The 14,992-nt window shown below is 39.9% G+C and overlaps 1 protein-coding gene and 1 long non-coding RNA gene across 33 annotated transcripts in view, besides 1 other annotated feature; one reads left to right on the forward strand and one right to left on the reverse strand.

Annotated features, from left to right (window-relative positions):
- Positions 1-14,992, forward strand: part of ENTPD1 (ectonucleoside triphosphate diphosphohydrolase 1) — a 183,082-nt gene that overhangs the window by 80,003 nt on the left and 88,087 nt on the right. The gene's annotated exons all lie outside the window — the stretch shown is intronic.
- The window catches only part of ENTPD1-AS1 (ENTPD1 antisense RNA 1), a 337,030-nt gene that overhangs the window by 20,982 nt on the left and 301,056 nt on the right, over positions 1-14,992 (reverse strand). Inside the window, exon 5 of the long non-coding RNA NR_038444.1 lies at positions 10,839-11,058. This is a non-coding gene — a long non-coding RNA (ENTPD1 antisense RNA 1). The remainder of the gene's footprint in view (positions 1-10,838; positions 11,059-14,992) is intronic.
- Positions 11,273-11,352: a silencer, noted in NCBI's record as "silent region_2651". NCBI's record gives its function as "represses an Ori minimal core promoter by ATAC-STARR-seq in GM12878 lymphoblastoid cells {active_cell/tissue: GM12878}" and the evidence as "EXISTENCE:reporter gene assay evidence [ECO:0000049][PMID:35858748]".

Consider the following 14,992-nt stretch of genomic DNA (forward strand, 5'->3'; position numbering starts at 1 on the left):
TCTTGTAAATTTGTTTAAGTTCTTTGTAGATTCTGGATATTAGCCCTTTGTCAAATAGGTAGATTGCAAAAATTTTCTCCCATTCTGTAGGTTGTCTGTTCACTCTGATGGTAGTTTCTTTAGCTGTGCAGAAGCTCTTTAGTTTAATTAGATCCCATTTGTCTATTTTGGCTTTTGTTGCCATTGCTTTTGGTGTTTTAGTCATGAAGTCTTTGCCCATACCTATGTCCTGAATGGCATTGCCTAGGTTTTCTTCTAGGGTTTTCCTGGTTTTAGGTCTAACATTTAAGTCTTTAATCCTTCTTGAATTAATTTTTGTATAAGGTGTAAGGAAGGGATCCAGTTTCAGCTTTCTACATATGCCTAGCCAGTTTTCCCAGGACCATTTATTAAATAGGGAATCATTTCCCCATTTCTTGTTTTTATCAGGTTTGTCAAAGATCAGATGGTTGTAGATGTGTGGTGTTATTTCTGAGGCCTCTGTTGTGTTCCACTGGTCTATCTCTCTGTTTTGGTACCAGTACCATGCTGTTTTGGTTACTGTAGCCTTGTAGTATAGTTTGAAGTCAGGTAGTGTGATGCTTCCAGCTTTGTTCTTTTTGCTTAGGATTGTCTTGGCAATGTGGGCTCTTTTTTGGTTCCATAGGAACTTTAAAGTAGTTTTTTCCAATTCTGTGAAGAAAGTCATTGGTAGCTTGATGGAGATGGCATTGAATCTACAAATTACCTTGGGCAGTATGGCCATTTTCATGATATTGATTCTTCCTATCCATGAGCATGGAATGTTCTTCCATTTGTTTGTGTCCTTTTTTATTTCGTTGAGCAGTGGTTTGTAGTTCTCCTTTAAGGGGTCCTTTACATCCCTTGTGAGTTGGATTCCTAGGTATTTTATTCTCTTTGAAGCAATTCTGAATGGGAGTTCACTCATCATTTGGCTTTCTGTTTGTTATTGGTGTATAAGAATGCTTGTGATTTTCGCATATTAATTTTGTATCCTGAGACTTTGCTGAAGTTGCTTATCAGCTTAAGGAGATTTTGGGCTGAGACAATGGGGTTTTCTAAATATACAATCAGGTCATCTGCAAACAGGGACAATTTGACTTCCTCTTTTCCTAATTGAATACCCTTTATTTCTTTCTCTTGCCTGATTGCCCTGGCCAGAACTTCCAACACTATGTTGAATAGGAGTGGTGAGAGAGAGGGCATCTCTGTCTTGTGCCAGTTTTCAAAGGGAATGCTTCCAGTTTTTGCCCATTCAGTATGATATTGGCTGTGGGTTTGTCATAAATAGCTCTTATTATTTTGAGATATGTTCCATCAATACCTAGTTTATTGAGAATTTTTAGCATGAAGGGCTGTTGAATTTTGTCAAAGACCTTTTCTGCCTCTATTGAGATAATCATGTGGTTTTTGTCTTTGGTATATTCTGTTGATTTGGGTGGAGAGTTCTGTAGATGTCTATTAGGTTTGCTTGGTGCAGAGCTGAGTTCAAGTACTGGATATCCTTGTTAACCTTCTGTCTCATTGATCTGTCTAATATTGACAGTGGGGTGTTAAAATCTCCCATTATTATTGTGTGGGAGTCTAAGTCTCTTTGTAGGTCTCTAAGGACTCGCTTTATGAATCTGGGTGCTCCTGTATTGGGTGCATATATATTTAGGATAGTTAGCTCTTCTTGTTGAATTGATCCCTTTACCATTATGTAATGGCCTTCTTTGTCTCTTTTGATCTTTGTTGGTTTAAAGTCTGTTTTATCAGAGACTAGGATTGCAACCCCTACTTTTTTTTGCTTTCCATTTGCTTGTTAGATCTTCCTCCATCCATTTATTTTGAGCCTATGTGCGTTCCTTGCACATGAGATGGGTCTCCTGAATACAGCAGACTGATGGGTCTTGACTATATCCAATTTGCCAGTCTGTGTCTTTTAATTGGAGCATTTAGCCCATTTACATTTAAGGTTCATATTGTTATGTGTGAATTTGATCCTGTCATTATGATGTTAGCTGGTTATTTTACCCATTAGTTTATGCAGTTTCTTCCTAGCATCGACAGTCTTTACGATTTGGCATGTTTTTGCAGTGGTTGCTACCGGTTGTTCCTTTCCATGTTTAGTGCTTCCTTCAGGAGCTCTTGTAAGGCAGGCCTGGTGGTGACAAAATCTCTCAGCATTTGCTTGTCTGTAAAGGATTTTATTTCTCCTTCACTTATGAAGCTTAGTTTGGCTGGATATGAAATTATGGGTTGAAAATTCTTTTCTTTAAGAATGTTGAATATTGGCCCCCACTCTCTTCTGGCTTGTAGAGTTTCTGCCGAGAGATCCACTGTGAGTCTGATGGGCTTCCCTTTGTGGGTAACCCGACCTTTCTCTCTGGTTGCCCTTAACATTTTTTCCTTCACCTTGGTGAATCTGACAATTATGTGTCTTGGGGTTGCTCTTCTCAAGGAGTATCTTTATGGTGTTCTCTGTGTTTCCGGAATTTGAATATTGGCCTGCCTTGCTAGGTTGAGGAAGTTCTCGTGGATAACATCCTGAAGAGTGTTTTCCAACTTGGTCCTATTCTCCCCATCACTTTTAGGTACACCAATCAAATGTAGATTTGGTCTTTTCACATAGTCCCATATTTCTTGGAGGCTTTGTTCATTTCTTTTTACTCTTTTTTCTCTAAATTTCTCTTCTCACTTCATTTCATTCATTTGATCTTCCATCACTGATACCCTTTCTTCCATTTGATCGAATTGGCTAATGAAGCTTGTGCATGGGTCACATAGTTCTCATGCCATGGTTTTCAGCTTGGTCATTTAAGGTGTTCTCTACACTGTTTATTCTAGTTAGCCATTTATCTAATCGTTTTTCAAGGTTTTTAGCTTCCTTGCGATGGGTTCGAACATCCTCCTTTAGCTTGGAGGAATTTGTCATTACCAACCTTCTGAAGCCTACTTCTGTCAGCTCGTCAAAGTCATTCTCCATCCAGCTTTGTTTCTTTGCTGGCGAGGAGCTGTGATCCTTTGGAGGAAAAGAGGCCCTCTGGTTTTTAGAATTTTCTGCTTTTCTGCTCTGGTTTCTCCCCATCTTTGTGGTTTTAATCTACCTTTGGTCTTTGATGTTGGTGACCTACAGATGGGGTTTTAGTGTGGATGTCCTTTTTGTTGATGTTGATGCTATTCCTTTCTGTTTGTTAGTTTTCCTTCTAACAGTCAGGTCCCTTAACTGCAGGTCTGTTGGAGTTTGCTGGAGGTCCACTCCAGACCCTGTTTTTCTGGGTATCACCAGCAGAGGCTGCAGAACAGCAAATATTGCAGAACAGCAAATATTGCTGCCTGATCCTTCCTCTGGAAGCTTCGTCCTAGAGGGGTGCCCGCCTGTATGAAGAGTCAGCTGGCCCCTACTGGGAGGTGTCTCCCAGTTAGGCTACATGGGGGTCAGAGACCCACTTGAGTAGGCAGTCTGTCTGTTCTCTGAGCTCAAACACCATGCTGGGAGAACCACTGCTCTCTTCAGAGCTGTTAGACAGGGACGTTTACATCTGCAGAAGTTGTCTGCTGCCTTTTGTTCAGCTATGCCCTGCCCCCAGAGGTGGAGACTACAGAGGCAGTAGGCCTTGCTGAGCTGCGGTGGGCTCTGCCCAGTTCGATCTTCCAGGACACTTTGTTTACCTACTCAAACCTCGGCAATGGCGGATGCCCCTCCGCCTGCCTCGCAGGTTGATCTCAGACTGCTGCACTAGAAGTGAGCAAGGCTTTGTGGGCATGGGATCCGCTGAACCATGTGTGGGATATAATCTCCTGGTGTGCCATTTGCTGAAACTGTTGGAAAAGCACAGTATTAGGGCAGGAGTGTCCTGTTTTTCCAGGTACCATCTGTCATGGCTTCCCTTGGCTAGGAAAGGGAAATCCCCTGATCCCTTGCGCTTTCCAGGTGAGGTGATGTCCCGCCCTGCTTCAGCTCGTCCTCCATGGGCTGCACCCACTGTCCAACCAGTCCCAATGAGATGAACCAGGTACCTCAGTTGGAAATGCAAAAATCACCTGTCTTCTTTGTCAGTCATGCTGGGAGCTGCAGACTGGAGCTGTTCCCATTCAGCCATCTTGGAACCAAGATGTTTCTAATGACAGACAGGGAAAAGAAAACTGACAAGACCCAGGCAGTTGACTTGACTCTTGTTAGAGCTCAACAGGTGGTTTGTAGTTGAGGAAGTGTCAATGGCTAAAAGATATGAGAAAATATCCAACTTCACTGGTAGGCAAACAAAGTAAACTAAAACAGTGAGGTACTATTTTTCACATACCTAAAAGATTTTTTTCTTAATATCCAGTGTTGTTGAAAATGTGGGGAAACTAATATTCCCTAACTGTTGGCTAGAATGCAATGGATAAAATTTGACATTTTGCTCTACTTTTTAGGATATGTCCTCAACCTTATCTTTTAACCTTTTTGTTAAAATTTCTTATTTTGGTTATTACTGTTTAAATTTCTAAAATCTTGTTTTTATTTTCTGATAGTTTATTTAAATAAAATTGTACACTTTTTTGGTATCATGGATGCAATATTTTCTCCTCTCTCTGATGATAGTAATTAATGTTTTCTTCTTTGTTTCCTCTGTTTTTTTAACTGTGTTTTTAACTTTTCATTTATGTCTTTCATGTTGAAGACCTTTTCACATATTATCTTACTTAATCTTCACTCAGTTCTATCAGGTTAATATTATTATCCTTGTTTTATAGTTAATGAGTCTTAGAGAGTGTATCATTGTTTTATTTCTCTTACCATGGGCAGCTGAAAAAATTGTTGGTCATAGACCAAAAGTACTGGTCACAGACCAGCCAAATCCACAGTCCAGCTTCTTAATCTAGCTGGATTCTCTGTTGAATCCTTAAAATCTCTCCTCACCACCTCCCTAACCCCAACACTTGTCTCATTATATTAGACAACTTTGTTAGAATTTTTTCCAAGTTGAATTAAAGTCTTTCTCCTTCCCTTTACCTTTCCACTGTCATTAGAACTAGTTCTGCCCTGTAGACCATAGAGATCCTCTCCCATTTCTACATCTCCTTCCATAGGAGATAGTCCCTCAAATATTTGAAATGATACTGTCATGATTCCTCCACATCTGCCATTCCCCAGCCTGAAGAGGCCTGGTTCTGCCTACTTTATTCTGCACCTTTGTGAAATTCTGCTTGGCTAACATTTTTGGAACGCTTTGGACCATGTTCTCTCAAAGTCTCACTTTAAGGGTGTGTCTATAACTTAACATAGGGTCCAGATATGCTCTGAAAGACTTAACCTCAAATGGGATACTGTCATTTTATTAATGTATGCTGGAGTTGGCTTAGTTTCAATTTGAGGAATTTCATGTGCTGCAACTTCTTTTCCTAGAAAGTAATACTTTTGATGTTTCTCACAAATTATAATTTCTAGGACTCTGAGCTGCCTACTTCTACTTACTCCTTTTTAGTTAGGGTTGTGTGTGTGTGTTGTCCTTACTGGTTACTGCTTTTACCTCCTAGGGTCTTTTTTTCAAGGCCATTTTCACTTAACCTTAGCTATTAAGCCCAAGTGGAGGTGCTAAGGTGATTTGAAAAATGGAAATATCTTAATTTAAATTGCACAAACAAACACTATCGTGCATATTTGAGAAGTAAAATACAATGTAAATGGGGGCTTTTCAGGCACCATGTTAAGCACTTGGTATATATTATTTCATTTGGCTTTTATAACAGCATTATGAGGTGAGAACTGCTGTTATTCTCAATTTAGATGTGAGGAGGTGTGGCTAGTTCGATACAACTAGGAGGGCCAGAGGTGTATTGCAGACCTAAACATACCAGACTCAAGACTAATACTGCTGTTACCCACAGAAATGAAGCTCACATATTGTATTTTATGCCAATTATAGCTGATGTTGTTGGAAGGAATTATATAATCTGCTGAGGTGTATTGCATACTTCTCATCTTTAACAGAACATACCAAACATAAAAACTTTTATTTGATAGGTTGAGGTGATGATATTGAACATCTGTCCTCCCATGTTCATTGTAGCACTATTCACAATAGCTAAGATTTGGAAGCAACCTAAGTGTCCGTCAAACATTAATTTTTGTGGCCCTTTAAGTAAGAATAAATATGTGGCCCTATAAATATGAATCTTATGTATATTTGTATAGACAGTGCCAAGCATATTGTAGGCAACTATGATTCAAATCACTGCACACATGCGTATTGAATGAGTACATGAATGAATCAATGAAGTTATAAAACAGCAATGACCTCAAGGTCTATTAAAGTTTTTAGAACTATTTGCCACTACACTAAATCTTTTATAAACTGTTTTGCTTTATGAGTCTATGTGTCTGCTTTTTGTAATTTTTTTCCCTTCTCCCTGTCATTGTAAATAGAATATCTATGGACATGAAATGTGCCTGAAGTTCTTTGCAAATGGAAGACTAAAAGGAAGTTGCCCCAGGCAATTCAGATCATTGTGTCCAAGAGAGGAACAAACTCATGTTTGATCCAGGTCATGACTGTATTCAAGGGCTTTGATCCTAGGTGTGGGGTCCAGCTGTAGGGGCATCAGGGAAGTACATTCTTGGTCTGTGTCCAAGTCCTTGGTCAGGGAAGTCTGTCTTAGCACCATGGAGACAGGGGAAACTGAATTCAGACCTTATGTGACAGGAGTGGACTAAAACCAGTGCATGCATATGATCCAGCAATTCCATGGCTAGGTATACACCCAAAAGAAAGAAAATCTGTATATAGAAGAGATATCTGCCCTCCCATGTTCGTTGCAGCATTATTCACAATAGCTAAGATTTGGAAGCAACCTAAGTGTCCATCGACAGATGAATGGATAAAATGTGGTACATATACACAATGGACTGCTATTCAGCCATAAACATAATAAAATCCTGTTATTTGCAATAACATGGATAGAACTGGAAGTCATTATGTTAAGTGAAATAAGTCAGGCACAGAAAGACAAACTTCACTTGTTCTCACTGATTTGTGGGAGCTAAAAATTAAAATAATTGAACTGAGAGAGAGTAGAAGGATGGTTACTAGAGGCTGGGAAGGGTAGTGGGGGCTGGGTAGAATGGAAAAAGGGATGGGTAGTGAGTACAAAAAATAGTTAGAAAGAATGAATAAGACCTAGTATTTGATAGCGCAACAGGGTGCTATCAAACCTATTGCCTTGGTTTGCAATAGGGTGACTATAGACAATAATAATTTAATTGAACATTTAAAAATAACTAAAAGAGTATAATTGGATTGTAACACAAAAGATAAATGCTTGAGGTGATGGATACCTCATTTATCCTGATGTGATTATTACGCATTGCATGCCTGTAACAAAATATCTCAAGTACCCCATAAATATAGATACCTACTGTGTACCCATAAAAATTAAAAATAAAAAAATAAAAATAAAATCAGCATAGGGAGCCAGTCTCCTACTAATTTGGTCAACAGTTTATGTCAGGTTGTAGTCTTAAGGGTGGAAACGAAAAGAGGGCCAGGACCTTGGTAGCCAGACCAAAGTTCACGACTGTGTTATATACTCTGAAATGGATTTAGCCAAGGAGGTTTGCCCAGATTCTCCCATAGGTGATGTTAAATTCCTTCCAGGACACTTGACCCCAGGCATGGGATTGATGGTGGGTTTTCAGGTGCTCTCCCACTAAAGCAAAAATGTCCATAATATATTCCAGGAATTAGGTGAGACAGAGCCTCAGGAAACAAGCCTGTTATGCCTTCACCAAGGCAGGGCAGAGCTGGATAAGGGTGAACAGAAAGGGACAAATTATTGATGAGAGTTCTGTGAGTAGAAACTCCTTTCTCTTCTTTAGAATTTCTGCCTCCAGTTTGTTAATGCCACTTCCAAAATACACTGCTCTGAGCTGAAGATAATACTGCATGCAGATAGAGTGCCATGAAGGCATTGGTTTGCAGTGATCTATAAAGGACTAATGTGCCAGGCTCTGTGTTAAGTGCTTGACTTTCACCACCTTGTTTACCCCTACAACAACAATTTTTAAATTGCCCTATTAAGATATAGAGCATTCTATCATTCTAAAATGTTTCCTGTGATTCAGTATATATTTATTTACTTTTTGGTTGATTTATTGAGTGAAGAACTGAAAATCACTTTATGGGTAGTATATTTCCTTTTTTGTATCACATCTGAAGTGAGACATTGTCAAACTGGGTAGGTATGTCCAGAATGAGGAAGGATGCAGAGACTATGTCATATAAGGAACATGTGTCAAAGGAGGTAGTAAAAATGAATATGACTGGGGCTAGTAGTTCCAAGAAAAAATTGGAAACATGCTCCTGGCTAATCAGAAGGTTTAGCTAAAATATTTTCAGAGCCTATCACGTGAACCTGGTAAAAACAACCCAGTATTGGGCAAAAGAGTTAGGGCAATTTGAGGAAGTCCTGGCGCCTAGGCTAGGTGGTGATGAACAGGGAAGATGTGAAGGAAAAAGGAAGAGAGAATTTTCCCCCTTGCCTTATTGATTTCATCCTGCATTAGTTCATCTCAGCTCTTCCTGTTGTTCCCCCAACCCCAACAGTTTTTCTATTCTTTTATCTATTTTTGAATTGATTCTCTAAAAGTTCTAAGGCTGCGTTTTCAGCTCCTGGTCATCTGGATAACTACTGGTTTCAGGATTCTTGGGGATAATGGGATGGAGGCATGGGAGGAGAATGTCTGGGTTAAAAAGATACTGAGCTAGAAGTAGAAGGCTTGGTTGAATTTTACACTCAGCAACATACAGGTTGGGCAAGTTGCTTTGCTCTTTAGCTTCAGCTTTTGCACACCTATAAAATGGAAGCGGTGTGTGTGTGTGTTTGTGTGTGTGTGTGTAGTGTATGTATCCGTTGTCTCCTAGGGAGTTTCTTTGAGGATCAAAAAAGAGAGTGGACAAAAATGAATTTTGTAAACTGTTTTTGAGAGCATCTAAATGTAGTTTTATGAGTAGCATTGTTACCATTGTCGCTGTTCTATTTGCTGAATCTTGTTTAATTTGGAAGCTCCCTAATTCACAGTGATTTGTATAGTGGGGTCATCACTCTGTAGGAGCTCTAAATGGAGACTTTGTCCATGATTTCCAAAAGGTCATCCACCCCAGAGTCACATGAGACTGGAAAGCAAATCTTTTTCATTAATTGGCTTCAAGTACTTTCAGCTTCAAATGGAGGTCTCTAAGGGTCCTTGGCTGGCACATCAAGGGGGCATTTCAAAGAAAGTGGCAAAATCTTGACTAAACTTCAGAGCAAACACGCACTCTTTTCTTTGCTACTCTCTTTCTAAAAAGAAAAACAAATTATACTGGTCTGGGTTGTGTGAGCATGTGTGTATCAGCTTGTTCTAATTCTCTTTTCCCAACCCCTTCTTTGCTTGTCCCATTTTCAAGATAGGATAACACCCAGGTTTTTATATTACCTTCTGTGTTAGGACTTTCTTAGGATTCCTAAAAATTTTGGCTAAGTAGCATTAGGCCTGCTCTATTTCACAGGTAGGCATAAAAAAAAAAAAAACAGTGTCCACTTCTTCAAGACAGTATCCAATTCTTCCTGGCATTTTGATGGTAGGAAAAATATTTGAATTTATTTTTAGGGCAAGTCACGTGGCAAAAAGAATAACAAGTATTTATGGTTGCCTGGGGAACTCAGCTTCTAGTTACTACTGATTATGGGAAAGAGGAACAAATTTTAAGATGAGGCAAAATTGGTGACCAAGAACTAGAATAGCAGGTGGCCTGGGAAGAGGTGGGGGTGAAAGCGGGTAGAAAATCTATGCAAAAATATAGGTTCCTAGTCATTTTTTTTCTTTTGTCTCTTTCGATTACTATATCCTGCCTTCCTGCAGGAGGAATGTAGTAAGATGCTTTGTATAATCAGGTGCTTTGCTTGTTCTTTTTTTTTTTTTTTTGATTGTAGAAAAGATCAGTGTAGCAATTTGACCATTTGCCAAATTACCCATAAGATAGGGTAGGCATTAAAAACCCAGGGACACTGAAGTCAGGAAATCCAGCTTCTTGTATCCTGGATCTTTCTTGGAACAGCCTGTCACATATGACATCTAATGATGTAGCACCAGCTGCTCACAAATACAAGTTCCTTAGAGTATATAGACATTATGGGGCCACTAAAAATGTCTTATATGGCTTGCTGCCAGCATTTTCAGCACTGTCTCTCACCAGCAGCCACTCTCTAACTGTTTGCCCTAGCCAAGCTCAGAGACATGGGGACTCCTATGAGCTCCATTGTCTTGTGTAGAGAATGGGGCTAACTGTAGAGTGTGAAGGCCTGGGGAGAAAAACTCAGGCTGTGTTTCCTAGTCACCCCAAGACCTTGTGGACCCAGGAAGTAGCAGTTCCAGAGACCAATTGCTATATGGCTTTCTGCATGCCCACTGCCTTTGTCTTGCTGTTGTCGCAGGAAACATCTGGTGTACATCCAGTGCACCCAGAGCCTTTTGGAAAACACCTATCGGCCTCAGTACTCTTTTCCCTCAGGCTGGCAGACAATGAGGAAGGAGGAGAGAGAGCTACCCATTGGAGGAGGAAGTAAAGCTGGAGGCTGGGGTAGTGGCAAGATATGAGCATTCAGGTCTACAAAGCTTCAAGTCTCTCATTACTTCACTCCATCAGGCCAGGACAATCATGGGGGTTTGGCAGGAGTGGCGTTGCAGGGAGTTTAGGCCTAAGGGAGTGTATGTGTGAGGCACAAAGTAATAAGGACTGGACTTTGTTACCTGAGGTGATGAGGGTGACAGGCCCACATGGATAAATTAGGAAACAGGCAACAGGTTCTATAGCTGCATATCAGAGACTCACAGAGTGGAAATCACTTTGATGAGGGCAGAGCAGCAGCCCAAATGACCGGATACCCACTGTGGAAGTCATCCCCTCATCACTTTTTCATTCCCAAGACTCAGCTCTTCTCTGACTCTGTTACTTTGTTGGCAACTCCCGTTGCAGTGTCTGGGCAATTTCTCTCAGTTGTTACAACTTGCATTCAAGGGCATCTCTTGTTCCAGGCCAACTCTATTGATCTCTGAAAAAATGGGAGGTAGAACAGTGTTCAAGCATTCAGATAAACCTACCTTCCAATCATAGTTCTGCTTCTTACTAGCTGTCCCACCTTAGGCAGGTAAGTTAACTTATCTGAATGTCAGTTTTCCCGCTTGTAAAATGCAGTTGGTATTAGTACTTAATTTAAAGCTTTGTTATGAGGATTAAATGAGATAATGCAAGTCCAGCCTATAGTTGACTTTGGCTTAAGCAGCAGTTGTTGGAACAATCTGTTGTGGCCAAGATCATAAGGTCTCAGGACACAAGGTTGGCCACAAAACCAACCCAGCAACTTATGAAGCAGAAACCATCTGTGGTAACTTTTCTCAGAAGGTGGCTATGTAAACTGGCCTCATTTGGCTGAAGGAAGTTGGGAGGTGGATAGGTGGGGGAAATAAAAGAAAAGAGAAGAGTTAAATGAGTGTCAATGTCTCCTAATAATTAAGAGCTTAGAATCCCTGGAGTCAGACAGGCTTGTCCTCAAATTCCAGCTCTGTGCTTACCATTTGTGTGACCACGAATATGTTATCAAACTTTTGGACCCCAGTTTTCTCAAGTGCAAAATAGGCTAATGATATCTATGGTGTTGTGATAATTTGATGAACAATGAGTATAAAGTGCTTAGCACAGTGCCTGCTACCCAGTAAGAACATAACAAATGGGGAAGAGGATGATTGTGAGGATGGCAAGCGTTTTTCTTGGCCTAGCATCCAGTGGTGCTGCTCTTGTTATCTAAGGAGGCAGGAAGGAGACAAGAGTGGGCACTTGGTAAAACTGGATGCAGGTGAAAGAGAGGTGTTTATCTGAGGGCCTCATATCTGAGCCTCACTTCTACCTCCTGACCCCTTATGTCCTCCCACCCTGCTACCCAGTGCTTGGGTGCTGCTTAAAGCACTTTGTTCCAAACTCCCTAGGGATGGTTTGCCCCTCCCCTTCCCATAATGACTCAAAACTTCTGTTCATTCTGTTCAGCTTTGCCACAGCCAGGTTTTGGTGAGAAGGACCACACAGCTTCCTTTGACTTTAAGGCCACCAGAGGTATTTCTTTTTAACTCCACCAAATTGGAAATTAGTGGAGCAATAAGCAATGGAGGATGGAGGGTACTTTGAGCACAGAGACTTCCATATTGCCCTGAAAAGGAGCCTGAAAGACAAGGTTGAAGGAGACGCAGGTTCAGTAGGGGAGGGAGAAGGAATGCATATCCCTAGCTTCCGTATTGCACTACCGTCCTTTGCCTGAGAAAGCGAACCCTGGTGTTAGAATCTGAGACTAATGTTGTTCCCCAAGGAGGAAGGCAGCTCAGGACTGGTTCCCACCAAGCCAAGTGCAGTCCTAGATTCTGGCTCCCTGTGCCCACTGTCAGCAGAGAAAGCACCAAATCTAGTGAGAAAAAGTTTCAGCATATCTTAAAATGACAGAAACCACCTTATCCAACCTAGACTTTTCTGCCATGGGAAAAAGATGAAACCTGGAAATCTGGGAAACTTAAAATTTTCAACACCATTTATAAATATAAAAAGCCTCTGGTTACTTGAGTGTTGCACATTTAGATATTTGATTTTGTATGTTGATTACAAATGGAGTTGTGGCCTTGCAAACCATCACAATCATCATTATAATCATTGAATTTATGGTTCATATGGCAGTTTCTTATACATTATTCAATTTACTTTAATCCTCTTAACTCTGTCAAGTAGGTATTACCATTAATCCTCATTTTACAGCTGAGGAAACAAGGTAGAAAAGGTGACTTACTCAAGATCCCAGAGCTAGTAACCTCGAGGTTTTGTTTTGCTCTTTGGTTTTGTTTTCAATTTAGGTAATGAGCTACCAACATTAGAATGATGCATAGAAAGGTGCTGGGCCATGGTCTTTGCATCTTCCAATAAAGCATAATAAGATATATTAATTTCCAGGAAAAGAGTTGAGGGAGAAAAAAGGGGGAATATGATTTATTGATACAACTTTTAGGGAAATTTGATCAGCGTAGTATTCCAAGCTTTATTTTGATCATTTTCAAACCAAAGTTTAATCTGTTAAAATAGACATGCTTCTTTTACTCTGTGTAAACATGAAGCTCCACATATTACAAGAGGGCTTGGAAGGATGGGCCTACTAATTGGTACAGAGCAACAAAGTCTATTTTTTATTTAAAGATATAGGTGTTTTAGGAAGGAGAGGGGATGTTAAAGATAGTATTTGGCTGTATGAAAATATAGAAGTATGAGACTGGCAGCTCTGTAGAGGGCTTTGGGTGAGAGAATACAAAGGAGAGAAAATGAGAAAGACATTGTTGTATGAATATAAGATAAACCACCCCAGTTAAGTGCAGGCTCTGGATGAAGTATTTCTATTACAAATGACAGAGCTGGGACAGAAGCAATGTAGACTGTTGATGCAGTATCTCGAGGGGAGTTTGCACACTGGATATGTAAATTATTATTGTTTAAAGATATTCTTCCATCTTGGGGAAGTTGCTTAACCTATATTATTTGCATTTTTCTTATTTGCAAAATGGGACTAAAACAGTACAGTTCTTACCATATGTAATCTTTGAGAGTATTAACAAAAAAAAGTATGTGAAGTGCCTACTACAGTGCTTGTCATAAAGAAGGCTGCAGTGGATATGGCAACACTTTCCTCCATCAACCCCCACCCCCAAATTCCTTTCAGTTATGAAAATTCTGAAACACTGTAACTTTACCTATATATTTATTGGATATCTACTTTTCGAAAAGTAGAACATGTGAAGAATTCTTGATTTTTCCTTGGAGATACCTTTGCAAGTTAGAGGAAGATATTAGTGCCTGTCTTCCTTGGTTTAATTTTAATTCAAAAGAAAGATATGATTGAGAAGGTAGGAGAAATGACTGACTAGTTCATCTAGGCATTAATAGTCCTAAAAGAGGGAACTGTAAGGCAACCAGACACATGGCCTCAATTTTTTAAGAAGGCAGATTTAAAAATAAATACATGCATAAATAAAATTTTAAAACAAAACCAGAAAAAATGGTAGACGAATTCTCATGATCAAATTTACTAAAAAGAATATGGCTTTAAAAGATGAGTCTAGGCCAGGCATAGTGGCTCACGCCTGTAATCCCAGCACTTTGGGAGGCTGAGTTGGGGAATCATTTGAGGTCAGGAGTTCGAGACCAGCCTGGCCAACATGGTGAAACCCCATCTCTACTAAAAATACAAACATTAGCTGGGCGTGGTGGTGGGTGCCTGTAATCCCAGATACGTTGGAGGCTGAGGCAGGAGAATCACTTGAACATGGGAGGTGGAGGTTGCAGTGAGCTGAGATTGCACCACTGCACTGCAGCCTGGGCGACAAAGTGAGACTCTGTCCAAAAAAAAAGAAAAAAAAGAAAAAAGCGAGTCTAAAAAAGAAATAACTAAATGAGAAACCTGATTATACAATAATAAATAATCATAATGGATGAGAAAAGCGAAAAGCAGTTAAAACACTTATTTGATCTGAGGAACTTTACGAGGAGGCGAGAAAGTATGGGTGAGTTTAATTTTCTTATATATTATTTTCTCTATTTTCTAAAAATCTCTATGGTAACTATGGCTTTTATAAAATAAACAGTTTTCCCCCGAGGATTTGTACAATAGAGAAATGGATGCAAGTAATTGAGAAGAATGGTTAGAAGCTAGGAGAATTCTTTTAAAAGTAGCATCACTTGGACTAAATATCTGTTGGCGATGAGGCATGGAGGAAAAAATGCTAAAGATAACAAAAGTTATTTTGGTTACAGTTCAGTGGAAGAACATGAACAGGAAGAGGAATGCATAGTGATCATGGATGATGCAAAGGAATTGGAACCTCTGAACTTCTATTTTGCTTCCATCTAGAAAAATGGAGTTCAATCAGTACAAAGTAAAACATACACAATTAAGAAGTAATTGA

The sequence above is a fragment of the Homo sapiens genome, chromosome 10 (assembly GCF_000001405.40).
Source record: "Homo sapiens chromosome 10, GRCh38.p14 Primary Assembly".
NCBI classification, from domain to species: Eukaryota; Metazoa; Chordata; class Mammalia; order Primates; family Hominidae; genus Homo; species Homo sapiens.